This window comes from Homo sapiens, chromosome X (assembly GCF_000001405.40).
Source record: "Homo sapiens chromosome X, GRCh38.p14 Primary Assembly".
Taxonomy (NCBI): domain Eukaryota; kingdom Metazoa; phylum Chordata; class Mammalia; order Primates; family Hominidae; genus Homo; species Homo sapiens.
In genome coordinates, this window is record NC_000023.11 from 23,064,903 (window position 1) to 23,082,369 (window position 17,467).

Below are 17,467 nucleotides of genomic sequence, written 5' to 3' on the forward strand. Positions count from 1 at the left end.
GATAATTAATTAGGGAGAGAAGTTGAGTTAGTGATAAGTTGAGTTAGTGATAATTATACTTTATGTTATAGGGTAACTATAACATAAGGCAATTATTAGTATCAGAAAAAAATATTTTGCAAAAAACAGCGGCCGGGCATGGTGGCTCACGCCTGTAATCCCAGGTTTGAGCTCTTTAAATAATATCATATTTCTTAGAAGTTTTGTTCATTTAAAAAATTCTCACTGGGCGTGGTGGCTCACGCCTGTAATCCCAGCACTTTGGGAGGTTGAGGCGGGTGGATCACGAGGTCAGGAGATCGAGACCATCCTGGCTAACACGGTGAAACCCCAGCTCTACTAAACATACAAAAAAAATTAGCCAGGCGTGGTGGCGGGCGCCTGTAGTCCCAGCTACTCGGGAGGCTGAGGCAGGAGAACGGCGTGAACCCGCGAGGCGGAGCTTGCAGTGAGCCGAGATCGCGCCACTGCACTCCAGCCTGGGCGATAGAGCAAGACTCCGTCTCAAAAAAACAAAAAAACAACAAAAACAAAGAATCACAATATATGATGCAGCTCAGTTGTAGTGTTTACACAGTTACACTAATGTAAATATTGAAGATTGAAGATTTCATTAACTTACAAGAGGAAGTCTGAATATGTGAGGATAGAGGAAAAAAGAGAACGGAATTGTCATTTTTCTTTCTGGAATGTCAATCAATAATATTTATACCCAGAAAATCAAGAAGTAGAAATAAAAGCATGTTATTTAGGGAAATAGAGATAAATACTCAAAGATATAGCTAAATGATCATTGTAGTTTTCTGTATAATTTGTACAGAAATAATAAGCGGACATATTTTTCTGCATTCAAAATTTAATGAAAATTTTAAATTAAATTTAAAATATGAAGATAAATTTCAAAATTTTAAAGATAAATAATATAGGATATTTCTTTCACTTCTGAGGTATGATAGTTCACAAATTACAGCATGCAATTCTTGTCTTTCTTTACATGATTGTTTTTAATATATTCAGTTGCAAAGGGATATGTTTGCTTTCTAATTATTTCATAAAGCATGATTAAACCAAATGTTAGCGTTGAAGTAAATGACTCATCTTATTCTTTTGTCCACTAAAACATGAATAAAGAACCTAGATGCATCTTTGAAAATTTCTACAATTTCTAACATTGATTAATCTTTGTACCATATTTAGATTATTATGACTTGAAATTCTTCTTGAAAGTTGGCATTACCGTTAATGAAATACTGGAAGTTTTAAATAATGGAAACTCCTTGCTATATAATAGATGAAAATTGTAAGTCTTTTTTCCTAAGACTGACTTTCTTTGTCAAGACTTTGATGAACAGTTTCTAATAATGACATTTTCCCAGGACAATTTGAAAATTATACTTTAGAATTCTTAATTAAGTTCTGTTGCTTCAACATGCCAACACTATAGCACATCAACAATGTGAATTTTCTCCTCCACTTTGCATAATGCCTCTTAAAATCTATGATAGGAAAAATTTATCTTACTCATTTCATCAATCTCCTAACTAGAAAAAAAAATAAAGAGGATATGGCTTCATAGTGTGCTTAGAGAGCGGACAGAAACTGAGAAGTATGCTAAGAAAATACAAAGATTTACTTAAAATTCGTTTGCATAGTAATGTGAAAATATATGTCCATGACTATTTAAGTCATGAAAAAATGAATAGGAGAATTGAAGTGAAAAAACATAATTATCAATTCCAAATCAAAACATGAAAAAATAATATCAAGCTCTTTAATTCACATTTTATATGTATTAGTTTATATAATCCTAAAAACAAGCCTATAAAATGAACACTATTACTATAGTAACCTATTTTACAAATAATGAAACCGAGACATGAAAGTGAAGAAATTTACCTTGCTAGAAAGTTGTAAATACGGAAAGTAAAAGTAAACCCAAACATCTTTGAGCAGAAACTATCCTTTAAGTCACTATTCTAAAACAATTTATATTTAACTTTTAGCTAATTACGGTTTTCCAACAGATTCTATTTGCGTAGTAAAAATATAAGAACAGTTTATCTTTCTCCTCATTCATTTTCAACTTCAATGCTGTTATGCATTTTCTCCAGTGTTCGTGATCCAGTCCTAATCTAGCTTTAAGAAAAAAAAAAGCAATCAACTGGAGCCAAGATGGCCAACTAGATGCAACCAGGAAAAGCTTTGACCAACAAGAGAGACCAGACCATCAAGTAGACCAGGATATTCTGAACAGATTTTTAGAAAGAAGGCATTTTAGAAAGAAGACATACAACAAATGCAAACCCTGGATGATAGGTGAGGAGGCTGGGAACCCTGTAGGGGGTTGCCAAGCACCAGGACTTGTTCCTGGCCCTGAGAAGCTCCTAGGAAAAGGGTGAGTGAAATGGGTGTGGAGTGACCCACTTTCACCATGGACCTCCATGATCCTAGCTATGGGAGACCCCACAATTCCCAGGCACATTTGAGCTGGCAGTGAGAACTGCCTAGCAAGTTGGCAGAGACAGAACTCCAGCCTGTGTGGAGCCCAGAGGGTTTGGCATGAGACTGGCTGCAGTGGAGCATGACCATGGGCATCCATCCCCCAAGACTCGCCATACTCCTCTAGGTGACTTTAGGCTTTGTTATTAATAGCTGCCAGACCTGGGCAGAGCAAGGCTGTCTTGCCCTTGAGAAAGAAACAGCCTGATCTGAAAACCCCCTGTCTTCTGGCCTCTCCCAGGATTCCTGCCTGGCTGAAGCCACTTGCAGCACAACCACTGCCATAGCTCTTTCACCAGCATACCCCACCTAATCATTGGAGTGCTTCTGCAAATGGACATCCACCAGCAGACACCAATCCACAGCCTTCCCCAACCAGTGTGCAATCACCTGCAACCTCCCCCCGCTGCCCTGCCAGCACACACGTGTGTGCAGACCTGCCACCACCTTGCCAGCACAGATGTGCACGGGAGCCCACCACTGCACCACCGGAGTGCTTTTCCCAGAAGCCCCATCAGAGTGTTGTTGCTAGCAGACTTGGAACACTCTAACCTCTCCAGCATATCAGGTGCTTAACCTCAAAAGGCCAGAGAATAAAGCTGTGGGTTTGGTACCAGCCTCCCGAGTTTATAGCATGTAGCCCAGCAGTGCTGAGTTGAGTCTTGGCCTCCTGAAACCATCCAGAAATGAAGCCAATTGACTAAGCCCAACTTACACTGCAATCAAACCCTCAAGGACCTCAAGGAATACAAAAGCAAAAAGGCTCATCCAAAAGACAGCAACATCCAAGATTAAAGGAACATCAGCCCACACAGATGAACAAAACTTCCAAGAAATATGGTATTATTTAAAGAGATCAAACCTACAAGTCACTGGCATTCCTAAAAGAGATGGAGAGATAGAAAGACATTTGGAAAACTTATTTGAGGATATTGTCCACAAAAATTTTCCTAACCTTGCTAGAGAAGTCAACATGCAAATTCAGAAAATTGAGAACCCTTGCAAGATACTGTACAAGATGACCATCCCCAGACACATAGTCAGCAGATTCTCAAAAGTCAACATGAAGGAAAAAAATCTTAAAAGCAGCCAGAGAGAACGGACAGGTCACATAAAAAGAGAATGTCATTAACAGTTGACCTTTCAGCAGAAACCTTATAATCCAGAAGGGATTGGGGGCCTATATTCAGCATCCTTAACCTTTTTACCATTTAGAAAAAAAAAAAAAAAAAAAAAAAAGTGCAGCTCACTGCCAATGCTCATTTAATTTTATATAAACACACTCTTTGAGGCTGAAGAAAATCTGACTGATTTTCAATGTGAAAATAAAATATAAAAACTGTTCTTGGAGTTATTTCTAAATAGAACTAAGACCAGAATTGTTTGAATCTTTAGAATCATCTATTTCAGGAAAATCAGATTCATCAAATTAATCTATGGCCAATAACTATTTGAGAACAATGTTAACATCATACATAGGATTCCTACATTTTCTAAAATGTGACATTCTCAGTGATCAAGAATTACTATACTTTGTAAATGGAAATACCACTACTATAAACAGAATGCTATAAATATAATAATGTCTTTTGTTTCTAAGTTGATATACTGGAGCAATGCAAAAATAATAATAAAAATGAGATATTTTGTGGTAAATTTATCTCAGAGTAAATGCTGCAGCTGCCAGCAAGTATTCCTGGGGTATATGGGAAAAGGGTTAAAGACAAGAAATTCCAACCAAGAATTTTATATCCAGCCAAACTAAGCTTCATAAGTGAAGGAGAAATAAAAATCCTTTTCACACAAGCAAATGCTAAGGGAATTTGTTTCCACCAGACCTGTCTTACAAGAGGTTCTTAAGATAGTGCTAAACATGGAAATGAAAGACTGGTACCTGCCACCATAAAAACACACTTAAGTACATAGCTCACTGACATTATAAAGCAACTATACAATCAACTCTACATAACAGACAGCTAACAACATGATGACAGGATCAAATACTCACATATCAATATTAACCTTGAATGTAAATGGGCCAAACACCCCCACTTAAAAGATACAGAGTGGCAAGTAGGATAAAAAAGCAAGACTCAACTATAGGTTTTATTAGTCAGAGTTCTTCAGAGGGACAGAACCAATAGGATATATGTATATATAAAAGGGAGTTTATTAAGGAGAATTGGCTCACATGATTACAAGGCAAAGTCCTGCGATAGGGGAAAAGAAAGAAGCCATCAGTGGCTAATTCGGGTTCGAAAGCCTAAAAACCAGGGAAGCCAACAGTGTAGCCTTCGGCCTATGCCCAAAAGCCCAAAAGTACCTGGGAAGCTGCTGGTACAACTCCCAGAGTCTAAAGGCTGAAGAACTTACATTCTGATGTCCAAGGGCAGGAGGAGGAAGAATGGAATCAAGCATCCAGCATGGGAAGAGGAAAGAGAGCCAGAAGACTCAGTAAGTAAACTTATCCCACCTTCTTCTACCTGCTTTGTTCAAGCTGCCCTGGCAGCTGAATGGACGGTGCCCACCCACAGTGAGGGTGGGTTTTCCTCTCCTAGTCCACTGAATCAAATGTCAGTCTCCTCTAGCTATACCGTCACAAACACATGCGGAAACAATACTTTACAAGCCATCTAGGCATCCTTCAATCCAATCAAGTTGACACCTAATATTAACCATCACAATTGTCTTCAAGAGATCCACGTCACATCCAATGACACCCATAGGCTCAAAGTAAAGGGATGGAGAAAGATCTATCAACGAAATGGAAAACAAAAAAGATCAGGGGTTGCTATTCTTATTTCAGACAAAACACACTTTAAACCAACAACAATCAAAAATGACAAAAAAAGGCATTACATGACGATAAAGGGTTCAATTCAACAAGAAGACTTAACTATCCTAAAGATATATGCACCCAACACTGGAGCATCCAGATTCATAAAACAAGTTCTTAGAGACCCACAAAGAGACTTAGATGACAACACAATAATAGTGGAACACTACAATATCCCGCTGACAGTGTTAGACAGATTATCCAGGCAGAAAACTAACAAAGATATTCGGGACCTAGACTCAATATTTGACCAAACTGACCTAACAGACATCTACAGAACACTCCACCCAACAACAACAGAATATACATTCTTCTCATCTGCACATGGCACAGACTCTATGATTGACCATATGCTCAGCCATAAAGCAATTCTCAACAATTTCAAAACACTGAAATCACATCAACCATACTACTGGACCACAGCACAATTAAAATAGAACTCAATTCCAAGAAGAACTCTCAAAATCACATAATTACATGAAAATTAAGCAAAATTCAGCATCCTTAACCTTTTCCCATTTAGAAAAAAAAGTGCAGCTCGCTGTCAATGCTCATTTAATTTTATATAAACACACTCTTTGAGGCTGAAGAGCCTGATTTTCAATGTGAAAATAAAATATAATAAATGATTTTTGGGGCCAGGTGCGGTGGCTCACGCCTGTAATCCCAGCACTTTGGGAGGCCGAGGTGGGCGGATCACAAGGTCAGGAGATCGAGACCATCCTGGCTAACATGGTGAAACACTGTCTCTACTAAAAATACAAAAAATTAGCCAGATGTGGTGGCGGGCGCCTGTAGTCCCAGCTACTCAGGAGGCTGAGGCAGGAGAATGGCGTGAACCCAGGAGGCAGAGCTTGCAGTAAGCCGAGATAGCACCACTGCATTCCAGCCTGGGTGACAGAGTGAGACTCTGTCTCAAGAAAAATAAAAATAAAAATAAATAAATGACTTTTAGATAAAGAATGAAATCAAAGCAGAAATTTTTAAAAATTCATTGAACCTACTGAAAACAAAGACACAATGTTCCAGAATCTCTGGGACACAGCAAAACCAGTATTAAGAGGAAAGTTTATGATGTTAAATGCCTACATTAAAAATTCAGAAAGATTTTAAATTAACAACCTAGCATCACACCTAGGGGAACAAGAAAAACAAGTGCAAACCAACCTCAAAGTTAACAGAAGGAAAGAAATAACCAAAATCAGAGCTGAACTGAAAGAAATTGAGACAAGAAAATCCATGCAAAAGATCAACTAAACCAAAAGTTGGTTAGTTGAAAGAATAGATAAGATTGACAGACCAATACCTAGATTAATAAAGAAGAAAAGAGAGAAGAGCCAAAAAATCCAATCAGAAATGAAAAAAAAGGACATTATCACTGATCCCACAGAAATACAAAAAAAACCCTCAGAGACTATTATGAATACCTCTATGCACACAAACTAGAAAACCTGGAAGTAGATAAATTCATAAAAACACACAACCTCCAAAGATAGAACCAGCAGGAAATTTAAACCCTGAACAGACCAATAATGAGTTCCATAATTGAATCAGTAATAAAAAACCTACCAACCAAAAAAAGCCCTCCATGATATATATTTACAGCTGAATTCTACCACATGTACAAAGAGGACCTGGTACTAATCCTATTGAAACTATTCCAAAAAACAGAGGAAGAAGGACTCCTTCCTAACTCATTCTATGAGGACAGCATCATTCTGATACCAAAACCTGGAAGATACACAACAAAAAAAGAAAACATCAGGTCAACATCCTTGATGAGCACAGATGCGAAAATCCTCAACAAAATACTGGCAAAACCAACCTAGCAGCACATCAGAAAACTAATTCACCACGATCAAATAGGCTTTATTCCAGGGAGGCAAGGTTGGCTCAACACATAAAAATCAATAAATGTGAGCCATCACATAAATAGAAAAACAACAACAACAAAAAAAACCCACATGCTCATCTCAATAGATGCAGGAAAGACTTCAATAAAATTCAACATCCCTTCATGTTAAAAACCCTCAACAAACTAGGCATCAATGGAACATACTGCAAAATAATGAGCCACCTATGACAAACTCACAGCCAACATCACAATGAATGGGCAAAAGCTGGAAGCATTCCCCCGAGAACCATAACAAGACAAGGAGGTCCACTCTCACCACTCCTATTCAAGATAGTACTGGAAGAACTAGCCACAGCAATCAGGAAATAGAAGGAAAACTCATCAAAATAAGAGAGAGGAAGTCAATCTATCGCTGTTTGCAGATGATATGATTCCATACCTAGAAAACCCCTTTTTCTCTGCCCAAAGGCTCCTAGAACTGATAAACAACTGCAGTAAAGTTTCAACATAAAAATCAATTTACAAAAATCAGTAACATTTCTATTTATTTATTTATTTATTTATTTATTCATAGAGATAAGGACTCACAATGTTGTCCAGGCTGGTCTCGAACTCCTGAGCTCAAGTGATCCTCCCACTTTGGCCTCCCAAAGTGCTGGGATTACAGGCGTGAACCACCATGCCCGGCCCCAGTAGCATTTCTACATAGCAATAACATCCAAGCTGAGAGCCAAATCAAGAATGCAATCCCATTCACAAAAGCCACAAAAGAATTAGAAGTACATTTAACCAGAGAGGTGAAAGATCTCTACTACAATGAGAATTACAAAATACTGCTGAAAGAAATCATAGATGACACAAACAAATGGAAACACATTCCATGCTCAAGGATTGGAAAAATCGATTTTGTTACAATGGACATACTGCCCAAAGCAATTTACAGATTCAATGCTATTCTTTTCAAACTACCAACATCATTTTTCACAGAATTAGAAATAACTTTTCTAAAATTCATATGGAACCATAAAAGAGCCTGAATAGCCAAATCAATCCTATGCAAAAAGAACAAAGCTGGAGGCTTCACATTACCTGACTTCAAACTGTAAGGCTACAATAACCAAAACGGCATGATAATTGTACAACAATAGACACATAGACCAATGGAACAGGTTAGAGAACCCAGAAATAAAGCTTCACACCTACAACTATCTGACCTTTGACAAAGTCAACAAAAACAATGGGGAAAGGACTTCCTATTCAATAAAAGGTGCTGGGATAACTGGCTACCTGTATGCAAAAGATTGAAACTGGGCCTTTCACCACATACAAAAATCAACTCAAGATGGATTAAAGAGTTAAATGTAAGACCTCAGACTAAAAATCTCTAGAAGAAAATCTAGGAAATACCATTCTGGACATACACCCTGGCAAAGATTTCATGACAAAGTCTCCAAAAACAATTGCAACAAAAACAAAAATTGACGAGTGGGACCTAATTAAAGAGCTTCTGCACAGCAAAAGAAACTATCAATGGAGTAAACAGACAATCTACAGAATGAGAGAAAATATTTGCAAACTATGCATCTGACAAAGGTCTAATATCCAGCATCTATAAAAACTCAAACCAATTAACAACCAAAAAACCAACAACCCCATTAAAAAATGGGCAAGGGACATGAACGGATACTTCTCAAATGAAGACATATACATGTCTAACAAGCATATGAAAAAATGCTCAACATCACTAATCATTAGAGAAATACAAATGAAAACCACAATGAGATACCATCTCACACCAGGCAGAACGACTATCACTAAAAAGTTAAAAAACAGTAACAGATGCTGGCAAGGTTGCAGAGAAATGTGAATGCTTATATACTGCTGGTGGGAATGTAAATTAGTTCAGCCACTGTGGAAAGCAGTTTGGTAATTTCTGAAAGAATTTTAAAAAGAACTACCATTCAACTTAGTAATCCCATTACTGGGCATAGACCCAAAGGAATATAAATCATTTTACCAAAAAGACACATGCATTCCTATGTTCATCATGGCACTATTCACAATAGCAAAGACATGGAATCCACCTAGATGCCCATAAACAGTCAGCTGGATAAGGAAAATGTGGTACATATACACCATGGAATACTACACAACCAGAAAAAGAACGAAATAATAACCTTTGCAGCAACATACATGCAGCTGGAGGCCATCATCCTAATTAACACAGGAAGAGAAAACCAAATAATGCATATTCTTACTTATAAGTAGGAGCTAAAAACTGAATACACATGGATACAAAGATGAAAACAATAGACACTACTGGGGCCCACTTGAGGGTAAACAGTGGGAGGAGGGTGAAGGTTGAAAAACTACCTATTGGGTACTATGCTCACTACCTGGTGATAAAATTATTTGTAAACCAAACCCTAGTGATGTGTAATTTACCCATGTAACAAACCTGCATTTGTATCTTCTGAACCTAAAACAAAAGTTGAAAAAAAAAAAGTAGCCAGGCTCGGTGACTCATGCCTGTAATCCCAACACTTTGGGAGACTGAGTCGGGCAGATTGCCTGAGGTCAGGAGTTCGAGACCAGCCTGGCCAACATGGTGAAACCCCGTCTCTACTAAAAATACAAAAATGAGCCTGGCGTGGTGGCAGGTGCCTGTAATCCCAGCTACTCGAGAGGCTGAGGCAGGAGAATCCCTTGAACCTGGGAGGCAGAGGTTGCAGTGACCCCAGATCGTGCCACTGCACTACAGCATGGGAGGCAGAGCAAGACTCTGTCTCAAAAAAAAAGAAAAAAAAGAAAAAGAAAAAGAAAAAATAAGAAAAGAAAAAGGAAATAGAAAAAAATACCAAATCTGAAAATACTGTCAATTATAAGTCCTACCAAAATAGTAATTTCTGGTTTCCACTAAATATACTTCCTTTGTTTGACTCATCACTTGGAATTGTGGATGTTTTGACTTATTTGGGGCATAAAGTGATTCCCTGGCCTTTTTAACCACACAGTATGCACAACCTTCCCTTGCTATTCTCTATCTTCTTCTTAAGGTTTATTTTTCTCCATAATACCTATCATAATCTGACATTACATTATATACTATATCCATTTGTTTATATCCTTTTGCTTCCAATATAAATTCCTTGAGGACAAGGAGTTTGTCTTGTTTTCCATTATAAACCTCATAGCCAGAACTGTGCCTACATATAATACATACTCAATTAATACTTGTTGAATGAATAAATTAACAAATTGTTTTTCACTTGTAAAGAGATATCATCATGTATACTAAGGAGATACACTAAACATCGTAGCATTACATTACATATAATGCATCATAAATTGCATATAGTTAAATTCCTAGTGATCTTTAATTTGATATCTATTCAAAAGTCTTTATAATTGGCCTTTAAAAGTATTACTACTTTGAGTCTACTTATAATTTTGTCTCATTTCAATGTAATAATGTCCTTAAGAAATATATTTCGGCAGCCGGGGGAGTCCGAGAGGAAGCGGAGGCGCGAGCTGGAGGCGGCGGCTCCCGTCGGCCTCCGGCAGGACTGAGCGCTGGGAAGCCGGAAGGCGGGCGCGCACGGCGGAGAGGCGGGCGGGAGGCCGGAGCATATTAATGAAAAGTGCCATAAACTGAAAAACCAAACATGAGGGTAGCAGGTGCTGCAAAGTTGGTGGTAGCTGTGGCAGTGTTTTTACTGACATTTTATGTTATTTCTCAAGTATTTGAAATAAAAATGGATGCAAGTTTAGGAAATCTATTTGCAAGATCAGCATTGGACACAGCTGCACGTTCTACAAAGCCTCCCAGATATAAGTGTGGGATCTCAAAAGCTTGCCCTGAGAAGCATTTTGCTTTTAAAATGGCAAGTGGAGCAGCCAACGTGGTGGGACCCAAAATCTGCCTGGAAGATAATGTTTTAATGAGTGGTGTTAAGAATAATGTTGGAAGAGGGATCAATGTTGCCTTGGCAAATGGAAAAACAGGAGAAGTATTAGACACTAAATATTTTGACATGTGGGGAGGAGATGTGGCACCATTTATTGAGTTTCTGAAGGCCATACAAGATGGAACAATAGTTTTAATGGGAACATACGATGATGGAGCAACCAAACTCAATGATGAGGCACGGCGGCTCATTGCTGATTTGGGGAGCACATCTATTACTAATCTTGGTTTTAGAGACAACTGGGTCTTCTGTGGTGGGAAGGGCATTAAGACAAAAAGCCCTGGCCGGGCGCGGTGGCTCACGCCTGTAATCCCAGCACTTTGGGAGGCCGAGGCGGGTGGATCATGAGGTCAGGAGATCGAGACCATCCTGGCTAACAAGGTGAAACCCCGTCTCTACTAAAAATACAAAAAATTAGCCGGGCGCGGTGGCGGGCGCCTGTAGTCCCAGCTACTCGGGAGGCTGAGGCAGGAGAATGGCGTGAACCCGGGAAGCGGAGCTTGCAGTGAGCCGAGATTGCGCCACTGCAGTCCGCAGTCCGGCCTGGGCGACAGAGCGAGACTCCGTCTCAAAAAAAAAAAAAAAAAAAAAAAAAAAAGACAAAAAGCCCTTTTGAACAGCACATAAAGAACAATAAGGATACAAACAAATATGAAGGATGGCCTGAAGTTGTAGAAATGGAAGGATGCATCCCCCAGAAGCAAGACTAATGGAAATGTGGAGAGAATTGAAGAAAGCGCACTTTCACTCTTAATGGGAGAGCTATAAAAGGCAGAGCTATGTGTAAATATTTTAAGAGCATGCAGCCATCTTGGTGTGTGCATGAGTATTGTCTCTTTTGATATCAGGATTATTTATTGCTAACGTAAATAGATAGCATTGTAAATAATCATCACAATGATCAAATCACTGAACCATGTCTCCGCACATTTCCCTAAAAGTACAATGTTTAGACTGCTATGGTAATACATATTTTAAATTCTAAAAGCATACACAATGTGTAACTGAATGGTTTGTGAAAAATATATTGATATATATACTAGTTGCTGTGAAAATATCATGGAATAATAGGGATTTTAGGGTGGATACTTTATTTTCTTTTATATTTCTATATGTTGCCTTGTGATGACATTATCTTTTAAATTAAAAAGAGATTTGGCTAGTTGTGTGTGTAATGTTACTTTACAGTCCGACTCTCCTGATGTACCTCTTTTCATGATCTTTTTCTTTCCTTCCCAAGAAACTGAGGAATGTTTAATATGAAAACATACATCGGATATGTGAAAAGCACAACAAAATTCTTAATGTACACAGTAAAAAAGTAAATATATAAATGTAGATGGCATTTAGGACCACAGCTTGCTGGATTTGTGTTAGCTATGGGAATAACTTGATTTTGTATAAGCTATTTAGAGTGAGGCTGGAGGTGGCAGCTTCACAGAACTGGAGAACCAGGCCAAGTCCCCTCCCCAACCTAATTAGGTCATTCAGGACAGCTAAGTCAGTATATTTAGAGCAATACTAGCATACGTTTTTCTTAGTTGTTATCAGCATTGACCAAGTGGTTTGGAAGGAGGCATGCTTTAATATCACAATAATTTTGATTTGTAAACCAAGAAATTAATCCTGTGTTTATCTAACTTCATAATAGCAATTATTGCCCGAAGCTATAGTGGCATATTTACAAAAGTTCTTATTACTGGGTGGACTGATAATATTTAAAAAATAATTGTGTTTGACCCCAAATGACTTTATACCCAATTCTACATAAAAATATACAAGATCTATCTTTTTTTGTTACCTTCAGATGTTCACTAAATAACTCAGTTTTTAAGCAGAAGTTTTCAGGGCATTAAATATATGTTGTGTATGAAGTATCTCAAACTGGAACATAAATTTAGTGATCAAACTGCCATTCACAGTGTAAGGCAGCACTTAAATTTCGAACCTAAGGTTTAGATGCATTGTATAAAAAAACCTAAAAGCAGTATCTGTTATTTAGCTGTAAACCAAGTTGGAAGCTATTCGGATAATTTCTTAAATATTGATGAACTTTGGAGTACTGTTTCTTCCTTCAAACTGAATGTAATTAATTCATGAATAAATGCACCTTATATGTTTAAACAATCTTTGTATACTTTTGGGATTTTTGGTGCTTATATGCTAAATCACATTCAGCATGTGTATTTTGACATTTAAAATACTTCCCTCAATTCTGTAAATTAAAAGAATAGTTATTTTACAGTTCCAGGGATTGTGAAATAAACGTTGCAGTTTTTTAAAATAATGAAAATAAATACTCTTGGTTTTGCTTTGTGAAAAAAAAAAAAAGAAATATATTTCTACTCAAACTTGCTCTAGAGCAGCAGAAGTTGTTCTTTATAAAACTAATTATCAAGATTATATAAATGAGAGATACAATTGCTCAATGTGCATCTTTCTTTCTAATTCATTTTAGTTCTTTTAAAAACAGGGAGAGGCATGCAGATTGAGAACTCTTCAAAAGACATTGTTCCTTTCTGTATATAATTTACAACCTTTTCATTATATTCCCAACATTTTTATCACTCATGTGATATGCTGCAAGCATTTTGGTGAGCAGCACTTCATGAATAAAATGTATCAGTGCCTGTAAAATTTGTAAGAAGAATACCTCAGGCATACTTGAAATAGAGCACATTTTTGACACTTCACACTTATAATAATTCATACTCCAGAGGCCTTTTTCATCTTGTGTATCAGCAAGCTGGAAAACCTCCATAGCCAGGAAGGGTAAATTCCCTATGTGCCATGTTCCTAAAATCATTGGGCTAGGGTTGCTCCCTTCCCACACATGACATTTTCAAAAGTTAAAATCTGCTAATGGCCCCTCAAGCAAAACCTTTTTGCCTTTTGGTGATACTGTGACACCGACTAAGAGTTCTCACACTGTATTAAGTACGAAGGTATATCCCCCAGTTACATTACTAGTAGTGCCCAAGAGAGGAGAATTGTCTGGCTTAACTTATTCCTAGTTTTTGATCATCTGCTAAAGAATAATAATACACGTTTGCAAAATAAACCATCAGTGCACAAAAGCTTAACATTATCATCCACCCCAAATTGAACTTTAATTGGAATATAATGAATACTTGGAGTATTTCTTAAACATCTCCCACATCCCTAATGTTTTTTCCTAAAATTCCATGTTTTCTGTTATCTCAACTTACGATTGAAAGCTGACCTCCAAAGCAACACAAATACTATGTATACCACATATTGAAGTATAGCTGATCTTGCTGAAGACATTGATAACTTCCTCATTGCAAAAATCATCTTCAGTTATTTTCCATCTTGTTGGAATACTTACTCAAGCACTTGAAGCTGCTGAGTCATTCCTTTCATTAACTAAAAAAAAAATATTGTGCACTTATGTTATTCCAGGCAGTGGGAATACAATAATTAATAATAATTTTTAAAAGAGTCTCAAAGCTCAAAGGAGTTTACAACCTAGTGGCAAAACAGAGTAATTACCAGATAATTATAAATCAGAGTGGTAATGTCATAAAACAGTGAGAAAATATTGCAATAATAGGGGCTCCAGCCCCAGACTTCGGGGGTTAGGAAAAGCTCCCATAGGGCATTGCATTCCAGTTGAGTCTGGAAGAATTAGTCAAGTCATCCAGGGGAAGGATTTAGGGAAATGGAGTTCCAGAGATAAATCAGTATATACATAATCCCAGAGGCAAGAAAGAATAGAGAATTTGGGGAACTTCAAGTAGCTCAGGATGGCGAGAGCTTAAGAGTCAGGGCCGGGCGCGGTGGCTCACACCTGTAATCCCAGCACTTTGGGAGGCAGAGGAGGGTGGCTCATGAGGTCAGGAGATCGAGACCATCCTGGCTAACATGGTGAAACCCCGTCTCTACTAAAAATACAAAAAATTAGCCAGGTGTGGTGGCGGGCGCCTGTAGTCCCAGCTACTCGGGAGGCTGAGGCAGGAGAATGGCGTGAATCCGGGAGGCGGAGCTTGCAGTGAGCCGAGATCGCGCCACCGTACTCCAGCCTGGGTGACAGAGTGAGACTCTGTCTCAAGAAAAACAATGATAAACTGGACTGTGGCTAAAGAAGAGTGATCAGAGTAGTCAAAGGAATTGGGGCAAAGCAGTGAGAGAAGAGGACAGAGGTCTGAATACATTTATCATGCTAAAGAGTTTGGAACTCATTTGGAGAAGAATGGAGTATCTTGAACCACTTTCAGCACAGAGACATGTGATCAGTGTGACTGCCTCGTGGAGTACTGATTAAAGGGGTCAAAATCAGAGGTAGAGGAAAATATGGGGAGGCCATTGTAGGCATGAGATGATGGCAGCTTAAACTAGAATGGTTGTCAGTAAAGCACAAAGAGAAGTAGATGGCTAGATTTCACAGCTATTCAGGATGCAGAAGCAAGAGATTTTGGTGGTGTTTAGTGGTCTCCTGAATGTGAGTAGTAACAGAGAGGAAAGAAGTAAAGGATGAGCCTCAGGTTTCTTCATAGAGACCCTCATGTTCAAGCTAAGTTGCCCAGAAGGCAGTTGGATATGTAGGTCCAGAGCTCAGGAGAAAGAACTAGTTTGGAAGGTAGGTCTACTCTGGTTTTTATTCTACCTCTCTGGCCACTGCTTCTTTGAACTTGTTTTATTTGACACACAGATATAGACCTTATTTCTAATTATTCCATCCTCATACATATTCTCTTTCACTCTACACACTCTTCCCCATGGATTTCACGTACACACTCAGTGTTAACGACCAGCAATGTTTGGGTTCCTCACAAAACCACTGTATTTGGGAGATGATCCTGGGAAACACCAAAAGAGGAGTCGAAAAGTAATATAGGGAAGGGAAAGTAGCCTATAAAGGGTGAATTTCCAAGCAAGTTACCACTGGGGGTAAAGAGAGCTAAAACTCACTGGGGAAGTCTGGTAAACTCTGCAGAAGACATGCCTCAGAGTTATCCAACTTGATAGGTGAGGGAGTTTATGTATTAATACACCAATTTCAGTCAGCCATTGGTCAATGGCTATCAGCCTGCCTCCTCCAGGTACATGAGTACATGGGTAGAGAAGGCTGTGACACTACGAAAAATATTTAGTCATAAAAATGCAATTGCAAGTCTGCCCTATGCAGATAAAGCCCATACACACATAGGTAGGACAATTACAGAATCTGTTACAACATATGTGCACAACTCCCAAATCTATACCTTCAGCAAAAGTTTAATATTGAAAGTCAGGTTCCACTGTGAAACTATAAAGTGCCATCTAAAATGAGCTGTTGACTAATGGGACCAAGAAGAGAGAAGTGAAAACCAAAATATGGAACCAAGCAAACATAAGAGAACCAGAGAGGTAAAAGTAAAGATTAAACATTGAGAGTACAGGAGATGGAAACGGCCTAGCTACACAAAGTGAATTCTAAGGACCAGTAGTATCAGCATCACTTGAGAGAGTATTAGAAATACAGACCTACTGAATTACAAGCCACAGAAGCAAGATCTCCAGTTCTTACGTATGCACATTAAAGCTTAAGAAACGCTTTTCCTTCTTCTTTAGAGCTTGTGTCACCATAATGAAGACTTTTAAAATGCATTCCTAGGTGCTTATATTTGGGTGGGTGCCCATATCCATTGCCTGCAATCCCTAATCCTCTTAAATAGCACCCAGATCCACTAAACTCTTTAAGCCAAAAATCTAGACTCCTGTCTCTATTACCCACCATTGACAATCTCTATGATTCTCTGCCAATGCCACAGTGTAGGTCTGTATCCTTTACAAAAGATAATTGCAATAACTTTTTCACTGGTATCATTGACTTCTGGGTCTTCCTGCCCCAACTTCACCTCCAAAATGACACAGAGCAATTCTTAAAGTACAAACTACCATACTGTTCCTCACTTAAATAATAGAGTGGTTATCCAACAACTTTGAGACAAATTCCTAACTACTTAGTCTAGTACCATGAGCTCCTCCATGATCTGGTATCTGCTTACCTTCTTGCAAATATACTGGCCTAGTATAGTTACTGTAATTTGAGCAATAAATTTAGTGCTAAAATTCCTGTCAATCAACTCATAAAGGGCATGAGGGTTACATAATCTTTATCTTTAAAAGTCTGGTGCTTTAAAATTTTCATTTGCTACTCTGGACTTAACAGCAGGTTAAAAGGCCATAAAAGGGCCCTCTCTCTAAGTATGATGTATCCTGGGTTGTTTCCATGCTCCAGCCCATAAGCTAGTGCAAGGATGGTAATCCTCTGTTAAAAACCTGAATTGTTATGTTCAAGACTGT

General features: G+C 38.3%; 1 long non-coding RNA gene and 1 pseudogene across 1 annotated transcript in view; one reads left to right on the forward strand and one right to left on the reverse strand.

Moving 5' to 3' along the window:
- PTCHD1-AS (PTCHD1 and PHEX antisense RNA) overlaps positions 1 to 17,467 on the reverse strand; it is a 1,100,142-nt gene that overhangs the window by 871,898 nt on the left and 210,777 nt on the right. The gene's annotated exons all lie outside the window — the stretch shown is intronic.
- On the forward strand, positions 10,684 to 12,510 carry FAM3C2P (family with sequence similarity 3 member C2, pseudogene; annotated as a pseudogene).